General features: G+C 45.3%; 1 annotated feature.

Annotated features, from left to right (window-relative positions):
• Positions 8,915-9,416: an enhancer, noted in NCBI's record as "H3K4me1 hESC enhancer chr20:5606161-5606662 (GRCh37/hg19 assembly coordinates)". NCBI's record gives its function as "activates a minimal SCP1, AML or CMV promoter by ChIP-STARR-seq in primed H9 embryonic stem cells {active_cell/tissue: H9 hESC(primed)}" and the evidence as "EXISTENCE:reporter gene assay evidence [ECO:0000049][PMID:30033119]".

The raw sequence follows: 23,022 nt of genomic DNA, 5'->3' as shown, positions 1-23,022 counted from the left end.
CTTCATCTGTATCCTTTATAATAATAAACTGGTAAACATCGCTGTTTCCCTGGGTCCTGTGAGCCTCTCTAGCAAATTAAAGGAACCCAAATTGGGGGTCGTGGAGACTTCAACTTGTTGTTGGTAGGTCCGAAATTCCAGTGGCAGAGACTTGCAACTGATGTCTTCTGCAAGGGAGGCAGTGTTGGGGACTGAGACCTCAACCCATGGGATCTGATGCTATCTCCAAGTAGATAATGTCAGAATGAAATTGTAGGGCCCCCACCTGGTGTCGGCTGCTTGGTGTATGGGGAAAAACTCCCACATATTTGGCCACAGAAGTGTTCTTCTGTGTTGACGATCGTTGTGGTGGTGTGAGCACAGTGGAAAAGCACAGTTTGGGAGAGTTTTTCCTGAAACACACCCTTACAGAGGAGTAGCCATTTCCAAGCAACAAAAAAATTGCTGTGAGCTCCATAGTCAATGCAAGGGAAGCCTTTAGGAACACTCAGCCTGGTAAAAAACAAATATGACAGGAGATATCTGGGGGAAAAGAAGCAGAGGTGGGATCCAGGAGAGATCTCCTACTCAGCAAAGTTTGCAGGTGTTCTGCAGGCAGAACACTGGTTTCAGCCTGCTTTAGATCATTTTCGATCCAAGAAAGTAAATTTTTAAAAATTCTAGGTCTAGACATAGGATTGCCAGTTTTAATTTTGCCACAGGGAACACTGTAAAACAAAACACACTCCTGTCACTTCCGGGATTTTTTGTTTTTGTTTTTGAGACGCAGTTTCACTCTTGTTGCCCAGGCTAGAGTGCAATGGCAAGATCTCGGTTTACTGCAACCTCCGCCTCCCAGGTTCAAGCGATTCTCCTACCTCAGCCTCCCGAGTAGCTGGGATTACATGCATGGACCACCACGCCTGGCTAATTTTTGTATTATTGGTAGAGATGGAGTTTCTCCATGTCGGTCAGGCTGGTCTCAGACTCCTGACCTCAGGCGATCCGCCCCCCTCAGCCTCCCAAAGTGCTAAGATTACACGTGTGAGCCAGCGCACCCTGCCGTCACTTCCATTTTAATGGATATTTTGATCCATAAAAAGTAGAAACTGTCTGGGCACAGTGGCTCACACCTGTAATCCCTGCATTTTGGGAGGCCAAGTTGGGAGGATTGCTTGAGTCTAGGAGTTTGAGACCAGCCTGGGCAACATGGCGAAACCCCGTCTCTACTAAAAATACAACAACAACAAAACCTAACTGGGTGTAGTAGCTTTCACTTGTGGTCCCAACTACTCAGGAGGCTGAAGTGGGAGGATCACACCATTGCACTCCAACCTGGGCAACGAGAGTGAGACCTGTCTAAAAAAAAAAGAAAAAAAAAAGTAGAAACAAAAGACATTTATAGAAGGATACCTTTTTATGGGATAAATTTTGCATTTTTTTTTTTTTTTTGAGACAGAATCTTGCTCTGTCACCCAGGCTGGAGGGCAGTGGCGCGATCTCGGCTCACTGCAACCTCCGCCTTCGGGGTTTAAGGAATTCTCTGCTTCGGCCTCCTGAATAGCTGGGATTACAGGTGTGTGCCACCACACCCAGCTAATTTTTTGTATTTTTAGTAGAGATGAAGTTTCACCATCTTGGCCAGGCTGGTCTTGAACTCCTGACCTCGTGATCCATCCACCTCATCCTCCCAAAGTGCTGGGATTACAGGTGTGAGCCACTGCGCCCGGCCAAATTTTGCTTTAGGAAGAACCTATCACGTTTCCTTTGTATTTATCAGTTTTCTTCTGGCTGGTGAGCTTGTTTTCAGAAATCATGACCCGTTCCACACTGACTTTGGGAAAATTACTCTTCTGCTCAGGGTTCTAATGATTTTAGAGTATAGAAAGAGAAAGCCAGGCTGGGCTCACGCCTGTAATCCCAGCACATTGGGAGGCAGAGGTGGGAGGATTGCTTGAGCTCAGGAGTTCCAGACCAGCCTGAGTAACGTGGCAAAACTCCATCTCTGACAAAAGCCTGTAGTCTCTGCTACTTGGGGGGCTGAGACCAGAAGATTGCTTGAGCCCAGAAGGTCAAGGCTGCAGTGAGCCATGATCACACCACTGCACTCCAGCCTGGGTGATAAAACAAGACCCTCTGTCAAAAAAAAAAAAAAAAAAAAGAGAGAAGAAAAAGTTACTCAGGTGAATAAAAATAAAGAATGGAATGGTGAGTTGACACAAGGGATGTCGTGGAGACCACAGTCTTCAACTTTCTGGGATGTTCTCTCTCTGCTTCCCTCTACACATCTGTTCTGCCCCTCTGTCCCTTGATTGATCCTCTTGAACTTGGCCTGATTAGTTACAACCTCCTGCGCCAAATATCTAGCATTTTCTGAGAACAACCTTCTCAGTATCTATTATGGGTTGACTCATGTTCCTCAAAAACACATGTTCAAGTCCCAACCCCCATATCTGTGAATGCAACCTTATTGGGAAAGAGGGTCTTTGCAGATGTAATCAAATTAAGATTAAGTCATTAGGCCAGGTGTGGTGGCTCACGCCTGTAATCCCAGCACTTTGGGAGGCTGAGGCAGGTAGATCACTTGAGGTCAGGCATTTGAGACCAGTCTGGCCTAAATGGTGAAACTCCGTCTCTACTGAAAATACAAAAATTAGGCCAGGCGTGGTGGCTCACACCTGTAATCCCAGCACTTTGGGAGGCCAAGGCAGGCAGATCACCTGAGGTGGGGAGTTCGAGACCAGCCTGACCAATATGGAGAAATCCCGTCTCTACTGAAAATACAAAACTAGCCGGGCATGGTGGTGCACGCCTGTAATCCCAGCTACTCGGGAGGCTAAGGCAGGAGAATTGCTTGAACCTGGGAGGCAGAGGTTGTGGTCAGCTGAGATTGCGCCATTGCACTCCAGCCTGGTCAACAAGAGCAAACATCTGTCCCCGCCCCCCCCCCCCCACAAAAAAATACAAAAATTAGCTGGGCATGGTGGCAGGCACCTGTAATCCCAGCTACTCAGGAGGCTGAGGTGGGAGACTTGCTTGAACCCAGGAGGCAGAGGTTGCAGCGAGCTGAGATGGTGCCACTGCACTCCAGCATGGGTGTCAGAGCAAGACTCTGTCTCAAAAATAAATGAATAAATAAAAAAGATAAAGTAATTAGGGTGAGCCCTAATTGGTCTCCTTTTCTAAGAAAAGGAGAAGAAACACAGAGACACACAGGGAAGACAACAGGAAGCGAGATACACAGGAGAACACTGTGCAACAACACAGGCAGAGATTCAAGTGATGCCTCTACAAGCCAATAAGTGCCAAGCATTGCTGGGAGCACCAGGAGCTCAGAGAAAGGCATGGAATAGATTCTCCCCTACAGCCTTCAGAGAGATCATGGTTCTGCTGTCACCTTGATTTTGGACCTCTGACCTTCAGAACTGTGATAGTATAAATTTATTTCACTCTAAATCAGTGGGTTGGCCAGGTGCAGTGGCTAGCTGGGACTACAGGTGTACTCCACCATACCCAGCTAATTTTTTGTATTTTATAGAGATGGGGTTTCACCATGTTGTTGAAATGTAGAGATGGGGTTTCACCATCTTGTTCATGCTGGTGTAGAACTCCTGACCTCAAGGAATCTGCCCACCTCAGCCTCCCAAAGTGCTGGAATTATAGGTGTACGCCACCACACCTGGGCCAAATTATGTTTAAAAACTGATCCCCAAATGCTCAGAGAGACTCATTTGAATAATACAACAGTGGCCAGCTCTGTGTGAATTACTCTTTCTCTGTTGCAATTCTCCTGTCTTGATAAATTGGCTCTGTCTAGGCAGCTGGCAAGGTGAACCTGTTGAGTGGTTATATCCTGGGCTCCAGTGATCCTCCCACCTCAGCCTCCCGAGTAGCTGGGATTACAGGCACGCACCAGCATACCTGGTTAATTTTTTTGTTTTTAAATTGTTGGTAGAGACAGGGTTTCACCATGTTCCACAGGCTGGTCTCACACTCCTGGGCTCCAATGATCTGCCCTCCTTGGCTACCCAAAGTGCTGGCATTACAGGCATAAGCCACTTCACCTGGCCTTAATAAAGTATCATAATTTCTCTATGCCAAGCATTTGTACAAGATATGGTCCCTTAGGAGAAGAAACACTGTCTGGTTAGTAAAATAGTTACTCCAAGATGCAGGTATGCCAAACAAATTGGGCTATCATGGCTGAGAGTGGTGGCTTACACCTGTAATCTCAGCACTTTGGGAGGCCAAGGCTGGCGGATCACTTAAGGTCAGGAGTTTGAGACCAGCCTGTCCAACATGGTGAATCCCCATCTCTACTAAAATTAGCCAGGCGTGGCAATTGCCTGTAATCCCAGCTACATGGGAGGCTGAGGCAGGAGAATTGCTTGAACCCAGGAGGCAAAGGTTGCAGTGAGCTCAGATCGCGCCACTGCACTCCAGCCTGGGTGACAGAGCGAGACTCTGCCTCAAAAAAAAACCAAATTGGGCTATTCATAAATATCATTAATCGGGGCCTTTTATGGAAGCAACAGGCAGCATAGAGATCCAAAAAAAAAAAAGAAAAAAAAACTCACATCAACACTCAAAGATGTTATGTATAGTGTATTGTGTTTCCCTAATCAGATTGAAACAGCTGAAATGGGAAAAATCTTTGGGAGACTTTTTTTTTTTTTTTTTTTGCCATTCTTGGAATTCCTTCATGTTACAGTTGGGAAGATAGCCCTCATGACATGCAGAGCCCAGTTCTGAAGCATTCTACCTAAATAAATAAATGAAGCCTGAATTAGAGCCACATTAGTAAGTTCATCAATCATCTTTCAATTTAGGAATTGTACATGCAGGTAAATATCGAACAACCGGCTCTCCAAGGAGGATAGCCCTGATGAATGGTGTTTTCTGCTGGCTTCTGATTCCCATGATGGCCAATTTCAAGTCCCCAGGCTGAGGACAGTGAACTTGAAGTTGAGAGGAGATACGTGTACCAAGCATTTGAGCTATCTTCCGAACTGTATTGCTAAGGAGTCTGTTTTAATAGTAGTACTCGACATCTGCAGAGAACATAAAGGAAGAGTATTGTTTTCCGTAGGCCAGGTATCTCACATAAGAACTCCTTCACAGTTGGCATTCTTTTTTAATCCTTACATTTAATGAGGGAGATACTATCTCAGTTTTATAGGCCATAAAACTAAGGGCCTAAGAGAATTAGTGGTTTGTATAAAGCCGCACAGCCAAGCTGAACTAGGTACGTTATTTAACCTTTATGGCTTTTGTTTCCTTTGCTGTAAAATGTACTAACAATAGTATTTCAAAGATGGGCCAGGCGTGGTGGCTCACGCCTGTAATCCCAGCACTTTGGGAGGCCGAGGCGGGTGGATCACTTGAGGTCAGGAGTTTGAGACCAGCCTGGCCAACATGGTGAAATCCCGTCTCTACTAAAGATACAAAAATTAGCCAGGTGTGGTGGCTGGGGCCTGTAATCCCAGCTACTCGGGAGACTGAGGCAGGAGAATCACTTGAACCCTGGAGGCAGAGGTTGCAGTGAGCTGAGATTGTGACACTGCACTCCAGCCTGGGCGACAAAACAAGACTCCATCTCAAAAAAAAAAAAAAAAACAACAACAAAAACAAAACAAAACAAAAAAAACAAAGATGGTTGGGAGCAGTTAGTAAGATAATGCATGTAAAATTCTTAGCACATTGCCTAGTATGCAGTTATTCTCTACTTGAAATGGTAACAAGTGTTCATGATAGAAAATTAGAAAATGCCAATATACCAAAAGAAGAAAATTTAAAATGCCATTAACTGCCAACAGTCTTGATGGAGAATTCAGTTCTGGCTTAATTATGACTTATGAAAGGCAGTCCCAACATATGAAATGCTTTTTTCAATGATGAAGCATTTGAGCAATTTTTTTTTTCTTTCTTTTTTAGAGTCAGGGTCTTGCTCTGTCACCCAGGCTGGAGTGCAGTGGCATTATCACAGCTCACTGCAGCCTCAGACTCCTCAGCTTATGCCATCCTTTTGCCTAAGCCTCCTGAGTAGCTGGGACTATAGCATGTACCATCACGCCTGGCTTTTTTTTTTTTTTTTTTTTTTTTGAGACGGAGGGAGCCTTGCTTTGTCACCCAGGCTGGAGTGCAGTGGCATGACCTTGGCTCCCTGAAACCTCCCCCTTCTGGGTTCAAGTGATTCTCCTGCCTCAGCCTCCCCAGTAGCTGGGACTACAGGCATGCACCACCATACCCAGCTACTTTTGTAATTTTAGTAGTGACGGGATTTCGCCATGTTGGCCAGGCTGGTCTTGAACTCCTGACCTCAGGTGATCCACCCACCTTGGCATCCCAAAGTGCTGAGATTATAGGCCTATTTTTTTTTTTTTTTTTTTTTTGGGACACATGGAGTCTCTCTATTTTGTCCAGGCTAGTCTTGAACTCCTGGCCTCAGGCAATCCTTCCACCTCAGGCTCCCAGAGTGTTGGAATTACAGGTGTGAGCCACCACACCCGGCCTTGAGCAATTGTTGAATGCAATTCTGTTTGGATTATAATAAAAGTTTAGAGGCAGGGCAGGGTAGCTCAGGCCTGTAATCCCAGCACTTTGGGAGGCCAAGCCGGGCAGATCACTTCAGGTCAGGAGTTCAAGACCAGCCTGACCAACATGGCGAAACCACATCTCTACTAGAAAAAATACAAAAGTTAGGCAGGAGTTGTGGTGCATATGTGTAGTCCCAGCTACTTTGGTGGCCAAGGCACGAGAATTGCTTGAACCCGGGCAGAGGAGGCTGCAGTGAGCCAGATGGCACCACTGTACTCTAGCCTGGGCGACAGAGCAAGAATGACTCAAAAAAAGAAAAAAGAAAAAGAAAAGAAAAGCAAGCAAGTAAGCGAGATTGGGTTGTATACTGATGCATGCAAATTATTTTAAAAAATAAATTAGAGCAGGAATAATAATGTCATTGCCACTCATGGATGTTATGATATTCTGTCTGGGGTGGGAGTACCAAGAAAGGAGATGCAGCCAAGGCCCCAGGGCATTTAATAACAGTTGGATGAGACACCCATGGGTACACAGTGGTGTCTGTAAACGATATTTCTCATGAGTGTTGTAAGAGAGACAGGAAGACAGAACTGAGTTGAACACATTCACAGCTAGACAGGGGAGCAAATATGTTTCTTTCCAGCCTACTGTGCTAGTGGGTTCTCCTTGGAGCCTTGTGTTGAAAATGACTGTGGGGCCTCTTCTGCAGAGGTGCAACAGGGCTTCGTGTTCATCACATCTGCCTCCTCCTCTTCCTCATATTGCACTGAGGCCAAAAGGTAGAGAATTACTTGAAGCAAGCAAAGGGAAGCCTTCTGAAACTATAGATTCATAATATAGTTTATGATATGACTTTGGTATACAGAACACAGAGAACATGCACCAATAGTATTTAAAAAGAGAGATGAAAAGAGACATCATAAAAAAAAAACAGAGATGAAAAGAAAACTGCATACTATATAAAGAGATGTGGGCATCTTGGTTTGGCTGAACCTGGTGAAACAGGAAATTTTCCTTGATCCCATCATGGGCCTCATGACAGGGATGCCTCGCTTACTCAGCTCACAGCTCTCAACCCCTCACAGAAGGGGGAGGATGCAGGTGAGCAGGTGCAGGTGCCAGAGTGAGTGCTTTTGGGTGACAACAGGAGCAAAATTCCATGTGGGCCCCTGGCAGTGTCTAGCGGGGAGTACCCACGACCCCCAAGGCCCCAGAGGGTGTGTGTTATAGTGCTCTTTTAGCTTTGCCATCTATGTTAAACAGCTCAGTGGGCCCTCTCTTTTTTCGTGAGGTGGTTGCTCTCTGCCAGCGAGGGCAGAAGGTCAGTGTGACAGCCTTTAGCATCCGCACCCGTGGCACTCGAGCTCTTGATTAGCATCCAGGAAAAATCAGGTCACACAAATGAACTGAAGAGTGGTGAATACAGAGGATTTTATTGCTGATGAAAGTGGCTCTCAGCAGGAAGGGGAGCCAGAAGGGGGATGGAGTGGGAAGGTGATCTTCCCCTGGAGTCCAGCTGGGGACGGAAGCAAGGTTGTCAAGCCATCCCTCTGAAGTCAAGCTGCTTCTCTCTGACATCAAACTGCACTCTCTGATGTCCAGCTGCTTCTCTTCTCCCCTTCTCTGCCCTCTGCCAGTCAGGTCAGGGGTTTCCATGGGTACAGGATGAGTGGCAGGGTGGGTCATGGGTGGTTTTGGAAAAGGCAACTTTCAAGTGGGAAAACAGGAATGCATGTTCTCATTTTGGGCGAAGGTTCCAGGCTTGAGGGTAGGGCTTTACCAGGGACTCTGCCCTTTTCTGCCTACAATTTCTCTGACTCCTGTCCCTATCACTGGCATACTACAGATCAGCATTATTTTGAAGACAAAAAGAGATTTTTGGGTAACACGGGAATCTTAGAGCTCTGAGTTCCTTAAAAATTTTCAAAAGATGTTTTGATCTTCTAGGGAAAGAATTTTGGCTGTTTGCCTTATACTATGGGTCCTCACTTTGGTTATAATTCTATAATTTGAATCATGAATTGGTGATTTGAAAATGGCTTCTCTGGAGTTTGATCTGGGACCTAAGGACATAATCACTGATTTTAATGATGTTTTGATACTTTATTAGACAGTGATACCATTTTCTTTTATTTTCCTTTTTTTTTTTTTTTTTTTTTTTGAGACAGGGTCATACTGTCTCAGTGTCTTGGAGTATGGTGACGTGATCGTGGCTCACTATGGCCTTTTCAGGCCCAAGCAATCCTCCCACCTCAGCCTCCCAAGAAGCTGAGACCACAGGCACAGGCCACTACACTTGGCTAAATTTTTTAGTTTTTGTAGAGACAGGGTCTCGCCATATTGCCCAGGCTGGTCTTGAACTCCTGGGTTTAAGTGATCCTCCCACCTTGGCCTCCCAAAGTGCTGGGATTACAGGCATAAGCCACTGCACCCAACCTGAGGCTGTTTTTCTTTTCTTTTTTTTTTTGAGATGAAGTCTCACTCTTGTCCCCCAGGCTGGAGTGCAATGGCACGATCTCGGCTCACTGCAACCTCGGCCTCTCAGGTTCAAGTGATTCTCCTGCCTCAGCCTCCTGAGTAGCTGGGATTACAGGTGCCTGCCACCACGCCCGGCTACTTTTTGTATTTTTAGTAGAGATGGGGTTTCACCATGTTGGCCAGGCTGGTCTCGAACTGCTGACCTCAGGTGACCCACCCGCCTTGGCCTCCTAAAGAGTTGGGATTACAGGCGTGAGCCACCGCGCCCCGCCACCTGAGGCCATTTTTCTATAGAACCCTTCTGTGGTCAATTCCCTGCCTGGAACTTCTCTCCCCAAACCCAGAAAAATGTTGAAGCCACCATTGCAAAATTATAACTGAGCTGACCTAACCAACTCCATCTTGCTTCTAACTTCCAAGCTGTCCTTGTTCATTCTTGGGCATAGGCTGAACTAACTTTGGGAGAAACTTAGTTTATAGTTTAAAACAAAGACAATAACAGTCCTTTCCCAAAAAAACCCTCCTTCTTGCCTGGGGACTAGACTGCCTTTGTAGGATTAACAAATTAGCCACAAGATTAGAAATCATGGTTTAGGAGTCATGCAGCTGGAGGCTACAAGATGCTGACCCACCCTAAACTGCTCCTAAGATTAGTGCTTGAGATATTTTGCAAACTCTGCCCTTGATGGATCAGCTGGCAACACCCAGAAAGATAACCTGGTTCATCTGACCTTGTGGCCCCACTCAGGAACTGACTCAGTGCAAGAAGACAGCTTCAACTCCCTATAATTTCATCTCTGACATGGCCCATCCACATTCTCGGCTTACCAGCTTCCTCCCACCCACTAAGTTGTCCTTAAAAACTCTGATCCCCTGGCCAGGCGTAGTGGCTCACACCTGTAATCCCAGCACTTTGGGAAGCCGAGGTGGGCAAATCATCTGAGGTCAGGAGTTCAAGACCAGCCTGGCCAACATGGTAAAATCCCATCTCTACTAAAAATACAAAAATTAGCCGGGTCTGGTGGTGTGTGCCTGTAATCCCCGCTAGTTGGGAGGCTGAGGCAGGAGGATTGCTTCAACCTGGGAGGCGGAGGTTGCAGTGAGCCGAGATTGAGCATTGAGCCACTGGATTCCAGCCTGGGCAACAAGCAAGACTCTCTCACAAAAAAAAAAGAAAAACCTCTGATCCCCAAATGCTCGGGAAGACTGATTTGAGTAATAATAAAACTCCAGTCTCCTGTACCAGCTCTGTGTTAATTACTGTCTCTATTGCAATTCCCCTGTCTTGAGAAATCAGCTCTATCTAGATAGCAGGCAAGGTGAACCCACTGGGTGGTTACAAATTCTCTAAAATCAACTAATATTATTGATTGATTGATTGATTGAGACGGAGTCTCACTCCGCCGCCCAGGCTAGAGTGCAATGGCGTGATCTTGGCTCACTGCAACTTTAACCTCCCAGGTTCAAGCGATTCTCCTGTCTCAGCCTCTTGAGTAGCTGGGATTACAGGCACTCACCACCACGCCCGGCTAGTTTTTGTATTTTTAGTAAAGATGGGGTTTCGCCATCTCTACTAAAAGATGAGTATGTTTTACTCATGCCATGAGGTAAAACATACAACTCAATCATATTGGCCAGGCTGGTCTCAAACTCCCGACCTCAAGTGATCCACCTGCCTCGGCCTCCCAAAGTGCTGGGATTACAAGTGTAAGCCACCAGGGCTCAGCCTCAACTAATATTAGAATTTATTAATCCCTATTAATTTTTTTTTTCAGAGATGGTATCTCACTATGTTGCCCAGGCTGATCTCAAACTCTTGGCCTCAAGGGATCCTCCCACCTCAGCCTTGCAAACTGCTGGGATTACAGATATGAGCCACCATGCCCACGCAAATGCTATTTTCCATACCTGGCTGAGTAATAAAGTAACTTAGGAGATAGTTTTCATTTCTGATGGGCATTGGTTGACTGCACACACTATAATTTAGTTTTTTTTTTTTTTTTTTTTTTTTGAGACAGAGTCTTGCTCTGTCACCCAGGCTGGAGTGCAGCGGTGCAGTCTCTGCTGACTTCAACCTCTGCCTCCTCGGTTCAAGCGATTCTTCTGCCTCAGCCTCCCAAGTGGCTGGGATTACAGGTGTGTGCCACCGTGCCTGGCTAGTTTTTGTATTTTTAGTGGGAACCGGGTTTCATCATGTTGCCCAGGCCGATCTTGAACTCCTGACCTCAAGTGATCTGCCCACCTCAGCCTACCAAAGTCCTGGGATTACAGACATGAACCACTGTACCCGGCCCTAATTCAGTTTTCCAGTCATGAGTTATAGGTATAATGTTTGTATTAAATAAGTAAAGACCATTTATTCTGATTTTAAAAAGTACCAGCTAGGGTAATCCCACACCTGTAATCCCAGCACTTTGGGAGGCCAAGGTAGGTGCATTCATTGAGCTCGGGAGTTCAAGATCAGCCTGGGTAATATAGCGAAACCCCATCTCTACAAAAAAATACAAAAATTGGCCAGGCATGGTGGCATGCCCCTGGAGTCCCTGCTACTGGGTGACAGAGCAATACCCCATTTCAAAAAAAAAAAAAAAAGTCTTAGAATGCTAATCATTACTTTCATATTCCCTTGGTATTTTTTTCTTTTCTTTTTTATTTATTTTTATTTTATTTACTCATTTTTTTTTGAGACAGAGTCTCCCTCCTGCCACACAGGCTGGAGTGCAGTGGTGCTATTTTGGTTCAATGCAACCTTACCCTCCTGGGCTCAAGTGTTCCTTCCACCTCAGCTTCCTGAGTAGCTGGGACTACAGGTGCACCCCACCACACCCTGCTAATTTTTGTATTTTTAGTAGAGATGGGGTTTCGCCATGTTGCCCAGGCTGGTCTCAAGCTCCTGGGCTCAAGTGATTGGCCTTCCTCAGCCTTCCAAAGTGCTGGTATTATAGGCATGAACCACCCCACCTAGTCTGTCTTCCTTTTTCTTTAGGAAAATATTTTTATTATTTCATTTTTGATCTCTTAGCCTGTTTATATCTAGTCATATTAATTGATTGTATGATAGCATTGGTTAATTCCAAGTGGTTTGGATGATTTCCACCTTCTCTCCATGCACATTGGGTTTGGATTTAATTTGCTCTTTTAGCAGGAAAATATAGCAAGGGACATAGCCAGGATGCCCAACTATTTTCATGAAAGAGGATAAAGTTCCCTTTACCCAACAGGATTGAGATAATCAGGAGTTTGTTCTTTACCCTGAAATCCAAAGCCTGGAATCCTGGGCCAGGCTGGAAATATGAAATGCATGATTAGGAGAGTGAGTGAGCAACAGGGCATGGTGGGGGCCTGTGCTGGGTTGGGGTATGCATTCCAAAGTCAATACATTTTTTTTTTTTTTTTTGTGACGGAGTCTCGCTCTGTCGCCCAGGCTGGAGTGCAGTGGCGCAATCTTGGCTCGCTGCAAGCTCTGCCTCCCAGGTTCACGCCATTCTCCTGCCTCAGCCTCCCGAGTAGCTGGGACATCAGGCGCCCGCCACCACGCCTGGCTAATTTTTTGTATTTTTAGTAGAGACGGGGTTTCACTGTGTTAGCCAGGATGGTCTCGATCTCCTGACCTCGTGATCCGCCCGCCTCGGCCTCCCAAAGTGCTGGGATTACAGGCGTGAGCCACCACTCCTGGCCCAAAGTCAATACATTTTTAAAAAAAACCTCTCCAGTGGCTAAGCCCAGCATTGTTATATGATTAATAAATAAAATATTGACATCGAGGGTTGACAAACCTAGTACTTTTTCCTGAAATTTTCAGTGCTGTCTGTGAGTATATTTGCACTGTTATGTGCCAGCAACTGTGCACATAACAACTGGTATGATCAATAAGACATAGTCCTCGCCAGGGCCAGGTGCAGTAACTCATGCCTGTAATCCCAGCACTTTGGGAGGCCGAGGCAGGCAGATCACTTGAGGTCAGGAGTTCGAGACCGGCCTGGCCAATATGGAGAAACCTCGTCTCTACTAAAAATACAAAATTAGCCAGGTGTGGTGGTGCATGCCTGTAATCCCAGCTACTCGGGAGGCTGAGGCAGGAGAATTGCTTGAATCTGGAGGTGGAGGTTGTGGTGAGCTGAGATTGTGCCACTGCACTCCAGCATGGGCAACAAGAGCGAAACTCTATCTCAAAAAATAAATGAATAAATAAATAAAATAAAATAAAATAAAAAAGACCTCCTTGCCTTGAAAGCCTGCTTATAGGAAAGCAAAATAGAGATATAACAGATAAAGGCAAGGAAGTGTTAGTCGTCACTCTCGTTTTCATGTTATAAGTAAATAACAAAGGTAGGGTATGAGCCAGCAAGTCAGGAGTAGAACAGAGAGCAAAAGCATGGCCTCTAATCTTCCCCCATCTAAATCATGCACATAATTAATTGGGTGTCATTGCCAAGAACCCCTGTCTTCCTGACTCCAGTCCTAGCTCACTTTGGCTGGCTTCCAGCCTGGAGTTGGCAGCTGGGTTTTTGAGCCTGGTGTGTGGTAACCGCGCTGTTAAAGCTCTTTTGTTCACAGTAAGGATATACCCTGCAAACAGCAGCTCATTCTGTGGACAGTCATCAATATTTTCACTAAAATGATAAAATGATAGCCAGTGAATTGCTGAAACATTTAAGCAGTAGAAAGAATTCCCTTGGGGAATCCATTTTAATGCCGAATGCACAAGACTGAGAGGCATTTGGAAAGATACAAAAAATTAATCATAATAACATTATTTTTCATCATCATAATAAATGGACCAGGGAGGAAACAAAATGGCTCAGTTCAATGTTTTCTGAAGTAACTTTGGCTTCTTAGTTTCATAAGGTTTTTTTTTTTTTTTTTTTTTTGAGATGGAGTTTCACTCTGTCACCCAGGCTGGAGTGCAGTGGCACAATATTGGCTCACCACAACCTCCGCCTCCCGAGTTCAAGCGATTCTCCTGCCTCAGCCTCCCAAGTAGCTGGGACTACAGGTGCCCGCCACCACGCCCGGCTAATTTTTTGTATTTTTAGTAGAGACGGGGTTTCGCTATGTTGGCCAGGCTGGTCTCGAACTCTCGAGCTCAGGCAATCCACCCGCCTCGGCCTCCCAAAGTGCTGAGATTACAGGTGTGAGTCACCATGCCTGGCAGTTTTATAAGGTTTTGATTTCTAAAGAGTCTATATTACACATGCCTTAAAGAGCTGCAATTGGGAGGCTGAGGGAGAAGAATGGCGTGAACCCGGGAGGCAGAGCTTGCATTGAGCCGAGATCACACCACTGCACTCCAGCCTGGGCGACAGAGCGAGACTCTGTCTCAAAAAACAAAAAACAAAAAACAACAACAAAAAAAGGCTGCAATTATGTTACATTGTGTTAAAGGTGGTAATTTTTCTTTAAAGCTTCATTGGGCCGGGGGCGGTGGCTCATGCCTGTAATCCCAGCACTTTGGGGGGCCAAGGCAGGTGGATCACCTGAGGTCACAGGTTCAAAATCAGCCCGGCCAACATGGCGAAATTCCGTCTCTACTGAAAATACAAAATTAGCTGGGCATGGTGGTGCATGCCTGTAATCCCAGCTACTTCAGGGGCTAAGGCAGGAGAATCGCTTGGACCTAGGAGGCAGAGGTTGCAGTGAGCCGAGATCACGCCACTTCACTCCAGCCTGGGTGACAGAGTAAGACTCCATCTCAAAAAAGGTGGGGGAGAAAAAAGCAGTAATATGTTTCTTAATGAAAAAGAAAAGCCGGCCAAGAGTGGTGGCTCACGCCTGTAACCCCAGCACTTTGGGAGGCAGAGGTAGGCGGATCACCTAAGGTCAGGAGTTCGAGGCCAGCCTGACCAACATGGTGAAACCCCACCTCTACTAAAAATACAAAATTTGCCAGGCATGGTGGCACATGCCTGTAATCCCAGCTACTCGGGAGGCTGAGGCACGAGAATCACTTGAACCTGGGAGGCGAATGTTGCAGTGAGCCAAGATTGCGCCATTGCACTCCAGCCTGGGCGACAGAGTGAGGCTTCTTCTCAAAAAGAAAAAAAGGGAAAAAAGAAAAGCCGGGCATGGTGGCTCACGCCTGTAATTCCAACACTTTGGGAGGAAGAGGCGGGTGTATCACTCAGGTCAAGAGTTCGAGACCAGCCTGGCCAACACGGTGAAACCCTGTCTCTACTAAAAATACAAAAATTAGCCAGGCGTGGTGGCAGGTGCCTGTAATCCAAGCTACTCGGGAGGCTGTGGCAGGAGAATCACTTAAACCCAGGAGGTGGAGGTTGCAGTGAGCTGAGATCGCACCACTGCACTCACTCCAGCCTGGGCGACAGAGTGAGACTCCATCTCAAAAAACAAACAAAGAAAAGAAATAAAAAAGAAAAAGATTTTTTCATTTCTTTTCTTTTTTTTTTCTTTGAGGCAGGGTCTGGCCCCCTCACCCACCCTGAAAAAGAAAAAGATTTGAAAAATTAAAAAATGGTAACAGCCTTTCCCAAAACTAAACTGCCTTTGTAAAACTAATGAAAGGCCACAGGTTAGGAGGATGGAAGGGGTTAAAATTTGACTAAGATGCAGATGTATTACAAATCTTTATTCTGGAAATCACAAGATTTGCGACTTCTCCAATTACTCCTGTAATTAACATCACTGTTGTAGAACCTAAGACTAGACTTTTGAGATGGCTTTTGAATTTTTTTTTTTCTTTCTTTTGGAGACAAGGTCTCCCCTCTGTTGCCTGGGTTGTAGTGCAGTGGTGTGATCAGAGCTCACTGTAGCCGCAACCTCTCAGGCTCAAGCAATCCTGCCACCTCAGCCTCCCAGGTAGCTTAAACCACTGGGACATGCCATCAGGTCTGGCTGATTTTTGTATTTTTGTAGGGACAGAGTTTTGCCACATTGCCCAGGCTGGCCTCAAACTTCTGGGCACAAGCAATCCACCTGCTAGGGCCTCCCAAAGTGCTAGGATTACAGGTGTGAGCCACCATGCCTGGCCCTTATTTATTTATTTATTATTTATTTTTGAGACAGAGTCTTGCTCTATCACTCAGGCTGGAGTGCAGCAGTGAAATCTTGGCTCACTGCAACCTCTGCCTCCCAGGTTCATGCAATTTTCCTACCTCAGCCTTCCAAGTAACTAGGATTACAGGCGTAAGCCACCATGGCTGGCTAATTTTTTATTTTTATTTTTTAGAGATGGGGTCTTGCTATGTTGCCCAACTGGTCTCACATTCCTGGTCTCCAGCAATCCTCCCCCGTCAGCCTCCCAAAGCATTAGGATTACAGGCATGAGCTACCACACCAGGCCGTCCTATAGTGTTAAATTCTCATTTCATAAAGGAAGAAATGGGTCAAGGAAGACCTTTTGACCTTACCATGTGAACCTTTCTTGCTCCAGACATTTGGATCTTATGATGGATTCAAGAAGTTGGAAAGCAATATACCCAAAAAACTGCAGCCAATTTAAAATTGGTTTAAAGGCTCATATTTGAGGCACTTAAATTGCTTCAGAAATCAGCAATTCCTTGGTCTTCTCCATATAGAATTAATCTTTATCTTTGTTTTGTTTCTTTTCTTTTCTTTTTTTTTTTTTGAGACAGAGTTTCGCTCTTGTTGCCCAGGCTGGAATGCAATGGCGCCATCTCGGCTCACTGCAACCTCCACCTCCTGGATTCAAGCAATTCTCCTGCCTCAGCCTCCCGAGTAGCTGGGATTACAGGCATGTGCCACCACGCCCTGCTAATTTTGTATTTTTAGTAGAGGCAGGGTTTCTCCATGTTGGCCAGGCTGGTCTCGACCTGCTGACCTCAGGTGATCTGCCCGCCTCGGCCTCCCAAAGTGCTGGGATTACAGGTGTGAGCCACCGCGCCCAGCCTTTAGGATTGATCTTTATCTAAAAGAACAATCAATAGCAAACACTAACAATTTTATCACCTACATGAAGCCTAGGTAGTGCATACTATAGTTTGGGAAACTGCCGCATGGACTCAAGCCAAGGGAGTAAAAGGCATGGAAAGTTTCTTTGAGTAGCAGGGCCACCAATGAGGTGCATAAAACACATAAAATTGATAGTGTTTGAGTCTGGTAAAAGATTCTCACAGTAGATCAGTTGTGGAATATCTGAGGAGAATAGTCAAAATATTTTCATGAATTGGCCAAGAGATAAGTATATGTGATTACTCTTTTATCCAACTCATAAAGAATATTTCTGGGAGAAGAATCAGTGCAAAATGAAGCTGATAATAGCTGAAACTGCCAAGGTAAGCTGTGCTATTACCCAAACATTGCTGGAAGAATCAATACTTTGTAACAAAATATAGACTTGCAAAATTGGACTCATGAAATAATGTGGCCACAGAAGGAAACTCACAATGGTAGAAGCTATAGTTGGTGGTTGGTTTAAAAAAATCACTGTATTGGCTGGGTGCGATGGCTCACGCCTGTAATCCCAGCACTTTGGGAGGCCGAGGCAGGTGGATCACAAGGTCAGGAGTTTGAGACCAGCCTCCCAACATGGTGAAACGCTGTCTCTACTAAAAATACAACAATTAGCTGGGTGTGGTGGCGGGCACCTGTAATCCCAGCTACTTGGGAGGCTGAGGCAGAATTGTTTGAACCTGGAAGGTGGAGATTGCGGTGAGCTGAGATCTTGCCATTGCACTCCAGCCTAGGTGACAGGGCGAGACTCCGTCTCAAAAAAAAAAAAAAAAGATTCTCATAGTAGAGCAATTGTGGAATATCTGAGAATAATCAAAATATTTTCATGAATTGGCCAAGAGATAAATATAAGTGATTATTCTTTTTTTTTTTGAGACAGAGTTTCACTCTTGTTGCCCAGGCTGGAGTGCAATGGCACGATCTTGGCTCACTGCAACCTCTGCCTCCCAGGTTCAAGTGATTCTCCTGCCTCAGCCTCCCTAGTTGCTGGGATTATAGGCATGTGCCACCATGCCTGGCTAATTTTGTATTTTTAGTAGAGACGGTGTTTCTCCATGTTGGTCAGGCTGGTCTCGAACTCCCGACCTCAGGTGATCCACCTGCCTCGGCCTCCCAAAGTGCTGGGATTACAGGCGTGAGCCACTGCGCCCGGCCTATAAGTGATTATTCTTTTATCCAACTCATAATTAATATTTCTGGGAGAAGAATCAGTGCAAAACGAAGCTGATAATAGCAAAACTGCCAAGGTAAGCTGTGCTATTACCTAAACATTGTTGGAAGAATCAATACTTTGTAACAAAATATAGACTTGCAAAATTGGACTCATGAAATAATGGTCACAAAAGCCAACTCATAATGGTAGAAGCTATAGTTGGTGGCTGGTTTAAAAAAATCCCTGTATTGGCTGGGCACGGTGGCTCATGCCTGTAATCCCAGCACTTTGGGAGGTGGATGTGGGAGGATCGCTTGAGCTCAGGAGTTTGAGACCAGCCTGGGCAACATGGAGAAGCTCCCCTCCACCAAAAATGGTGGCATGCACCTGTGGTCTCAGCTACTTGGGAGGCTGAGGTGGGAGGATTGCTTGAGCCTGGGAGGTGGAGGCTGCAGTGAGCTGAGATTGCATCACTTGCACTTCAGCCTGGGTGACAGAGTAAGATCTCGTCTCAAAAAAAAAAAAAATCACTCTATGATCCTGGGCAACATAGTGAGACTACATCTCTAACACACACACACACACACACACACACACACACACACATACCCCAAATTAGCCAGGCATGGTGATGTCCACCCATAGTCTCAGCAACCGAACAAGATCTTGTCTTGGCCAGGCCCAGTGGCTCACTCCTGTAATCCCAACACTTTGGGAGGCTGAAGCAGCAGATCACCTGAGGTCAGGAGCTTGAGACCAGCTGGGCCAACATGACAAAACCCCGTTTCTACTAAAAATACAAAAATTAGCTGGGCATAATAGTGCACACCTGTAATCCTAGCTACTTGGGACGCTGAGGAAGGAGAATCACTTGAACCCAGGAGATGAAGGCTGCAGTGACCCAAGATCACACCGTTGCACTTTAGCATGGGGGACAGAGCAAGACTCTGTGTCAAAATAAATAAATAAATACATACATACATACATACATACATACATACATACATACATACATAAACCAGTAGCAGCAAAATTTTCACCAAAGATTAATGTTCACAATGTCACAGGCTGGGTGCAGTGGGTCATGCCTGTGATCCCAACACTTTAGGAGGCCGAGGCTGGAGGATAACTTAAGGTCAGGAGTTCAAGACCAGCCTGGCCAACATGGCGAAACCCTGTCTCTAATAAAAATACAAAAATTAGCTGGGCGTAATAGCACACACCCGTAATCCCAGCTATTTGGGTGGCTGAGGCATGAGAATCGCTTGAACCCAGGAGGTGGAGGCTGCAGTGGGCCAAGATTACACCACTGCACTGCAGCCTGGGTCACAGAGTGAGTCTCTGTGTCCAAAAAAAAGCCACTTGTCACTTGTAAAGGGTAGGATTCAAGCCCATGTCTGGCTTCTATGTCTAGAGTTTTTTGCATCAATACTGCTAATTTTTTTTTTTTTATTAAAGAGACACAGCCTCCCTTTGTCACCCAGGCTGGAGTGCAGAGGTGCAATCATGGTTCATTGCAGCCTGGACCTCCCAGACTCAAGAGATCCACCCCTCTAAGCCTCTGGAGTAGCTAGTGCTACTGGCTGGTGCCACCATATTCTGCCATATATCTGACATGGATATATATATATATATATATATATATATTTTTTTTTTTTTTGAGCTAGAATCACTTTTTTGTTGCCCAGGCTGGACTGCTACCATTTTTCTTTCTTTCTTTTTTTTAAATCAGGCAGCCTCCTTAGCCAGAGTAGGCTCAGACTCCCTACTAATGTTTTTCAAAAAATGATTGCATAAGGTGAGATCCTGTGGTCCTGATTTCAGACAAATGAGGTAACGTATTTCATTATTTAATCAAGTACAATAATGAATGTTAAATATTTTATACAATTCAAAACATATGGAGCTCTTCTGGAAGTAATCAGTTAAGACCTAAATTGATCTCATTAACCATATGTTTGAAAAGTTATGGCTGGGAGCCATGGCTCATGCCTGTAACCCCAACACATTGGGAGGCTGAGGTGGGAGGGTCTCTTGAGCCTAAGAGTTCAAATTCAGCCTGGGCAACATGATGAAACCCCATCTATACAAAAAATAAGAAACAATTAGTCAGGCATAATGGCATGGTGGCACACACCTGTGATCCTAGCTACCAGGGAGGTGGAGGTGGGAGGAGCCTTTGAGCTCAGGAGGTCAGGGTTGCAGTGAGCTGTGATCATGCACTCCAGCCTCGGTGACAGAGCAAGACCCCGCCTCAAAAAAAAAAAAAAAGAAAAAAGAAAAGTTAACATTTCACAGAGTGTTGGGAGAAAGGAATGTGGGAATGCATTACCTATATTCTAATTATCTATATTCTACTTCAGTATCCCAATCAGAACAGTGCGATTATGGAGTAATCTAAAATACATTGCATTATCAAAGAGTTTCTAAGCAAGGCTGTGTAAAATGGCATCTGTAGGAATTCCTTCTTCTCTTGGATGAGTATAGTTTCTCTGCCAGTCTTCTTATTTATTCATTTTGAGATGGAGTCTGGCTTTGTCACCCAGGCTGGACGGCAGTGGCACGATCTCGGCTCACTGCAACCTCTGTCTTCTGGGTTCAAGCGATTCTCCTGACTCAGCCTCCTGAGTAGCTAGGACTACAGGCGTGTGCCACCATGCCCGGTTAATGTTTTGTGTTTTCAGTAGAGACAGGATTTCACCATGCTAGCCAGGATGGTCTCAATCTCCTGACCTCGTGATCCGCCCTCCTTCACCTCCCAAAGTGTTGGGATTACAGGAGTGAGCCACCGCACCCAGCCTCTCTGCCGGTCTTCTAATGTTACTGGCTTGTTCCATATCTTTTAGAGCAAGCTCGTCCAACCCATGGCCCGGGGGCTACATGTGGCCCAGGACGGCTTTGAATGCAGCCCAACACAAATTCGTAAACTTTCTTAAAACTTTATAAAATTTTTGCGATTTTTAAAAAGGTCATCAGCTATCTTTAGTGTTAGTGGATTTTACGTGTGGCTCAAGACAATTCTTCTTCTTCCAATGTGACCCAGGGGAGCCAAAAGAACCCCTATTATAGACATTTCTCAGTCTCTGGCCATTGATGGCATCCTTTGAATATGTATAATTCTTCTGTCATTTCAAAAGGATTTAGGGAAGGAGCATGGATTAGGTCTATTAACTGGAACTATAAACACTAGGCAAATATCTTGACTAAATGGTGGTTATAGAAAAATAAATATCTGGCTGGGTGTGGTGGCTCACGCCTGTAGTCCCAGCACTTTGGGAAGCCGAGGTGGGTGGATCATCTGAGGTCAGGAGTTCGAGACCAGCCTGGCCAACATGCTGAAACCCCATCTCTACTAAAAATAAAAAATTAGCCAGGCATGGTGGCAGGTGCCTGTAATCCCAGCTACTCAGGAGGCTGAGGCAGGAGAGTCGCTTGAACCTGGGAGGTGGAGGTTGCGGTGAGCCGAGATAACGCCATTGCAATCCAGCCTGGGCAACAAGAGCTAAACTCTGTCTCAAAAACAACAACAAAAACTCCATTTCAAAAAAAAGAAAAATAAAGATCTATAAACATTTTAAGGAAGCAAACTCTTATGAAAAAATTCGTCACTGAAGTATGACTAACAGAGGAAATTCACTCCAAACTACGTAGCAAATGTAAGACAGCAGAGTTTAATGGGTAATGGCACATAACCAGAAGGAATTTTAATTCTTTAAGAAATCTGGGATTAAAATGAGTACTATCAAAAAACTATTGCATCCTGAGCCTAGCATAAAGCAGGCACTTAATTATTTAACTGAATGGATGACATTGTCAGAAATTTTCTGGGATTGAATCCAAGCTAAATATCAAATGTGGTAGAGGACAATCCGATTTATAAAACCAGAAATTCTGCCTAAAGCTAGAGCTCATCTAATCCAAACACATTTTCAGTAGGCCCATTTTGAACTAGCGTGCAACTCGAGCTATTTCTCTATGTCTTGTTGTAAGAGAACTTCGACATCTCCTGAAAGGTGGTTCTTTTTAGTCGGTTTTTTGTTTTGTTTTGTTGTTGTTTTTGCGAGAGTCTAGCTGTCACCCAAGTAGGAGAGCAGTGGTGCAGTCTTGGCTCACAGCAACCTCCACCTCCCAGGCTTAAGTTATTCTAGTTCCTCCGCCTCCCGAGTAGCTGGAATTACAGGCGCTCGACCACACCCGGCTAATTTTTGTATTTTTAGTAGAAACGGGGTTTCGCCATGATGCCCAGGCTGGTCTCAAACTCCTGACCTCAGATGATCTGCCCGCCTCGGGGTCCCAAAGTACTGGGATTACTGGCATGAGCCACCGCACCAGGCCTCTTTTTACTTTTCAATATCTCACTTGATTTAAGTAAAAGCTGCTGATATAATTTTATATTGGACACTAACCAGAGGGTAACTTTGATACTGGTAAGGTAACAGTGTAAGTTAGATGAGTTGCAAAGTTTTTGTTTTGTTTTGTTTTGTTTTTTGAGACAGAGTCTCTCTCTGTTGCCATGCTGGAGTGCAGTGGTGCGATCTCAGCTCACTGTAACCTCCACCTCCCAGGTTCAAGCAATTCTCTTGCATCACCCTCCCAAGTAGCTGGGACTACAGGCGTGCGCCACCATGCCTGGCTAATTGTTGTATTTTTAGTAGAGACGGGGTTTCACCATGTTGGCCAGGATGGTCTTCATCTCTTGACCTCGTGATCCGCCCGCCTCGGCCTCCCAAAGTGTTGGGATTACAGGCGTGAGCCACCACGCCCCGCAAGTTGCAAAGTTTCGTAAGAGAACTTCAAGTGGCAAATGCTGATTAACTTTCTGGAGACCACCAAAGGAGAGGAAAAAAAAATTTTTTTTTTTGATACGGTTCATTTTTTAGAAAATAAACTACAACTCTGGCAGGGAGAGTCAGCTTTCAAAAAAGTTCCTTCAAACTTTAATT

This window comes from Homo sapiens, chromosome 20 (genome assembly GCF_000001405.40).
Source record: "Homo sapiens chromosome 20, GRCh38.p14 Primary Assembly".
NCBI lineage: Eukaryota > Metazoa > Chordata > Mammalia > Primates > Hominidae > Homo > Homo sapiens.
Note: the sequence above shows the minus strand (reverse complement) of the source record. Positions and strands in the feature narration are given on the sequence as shown.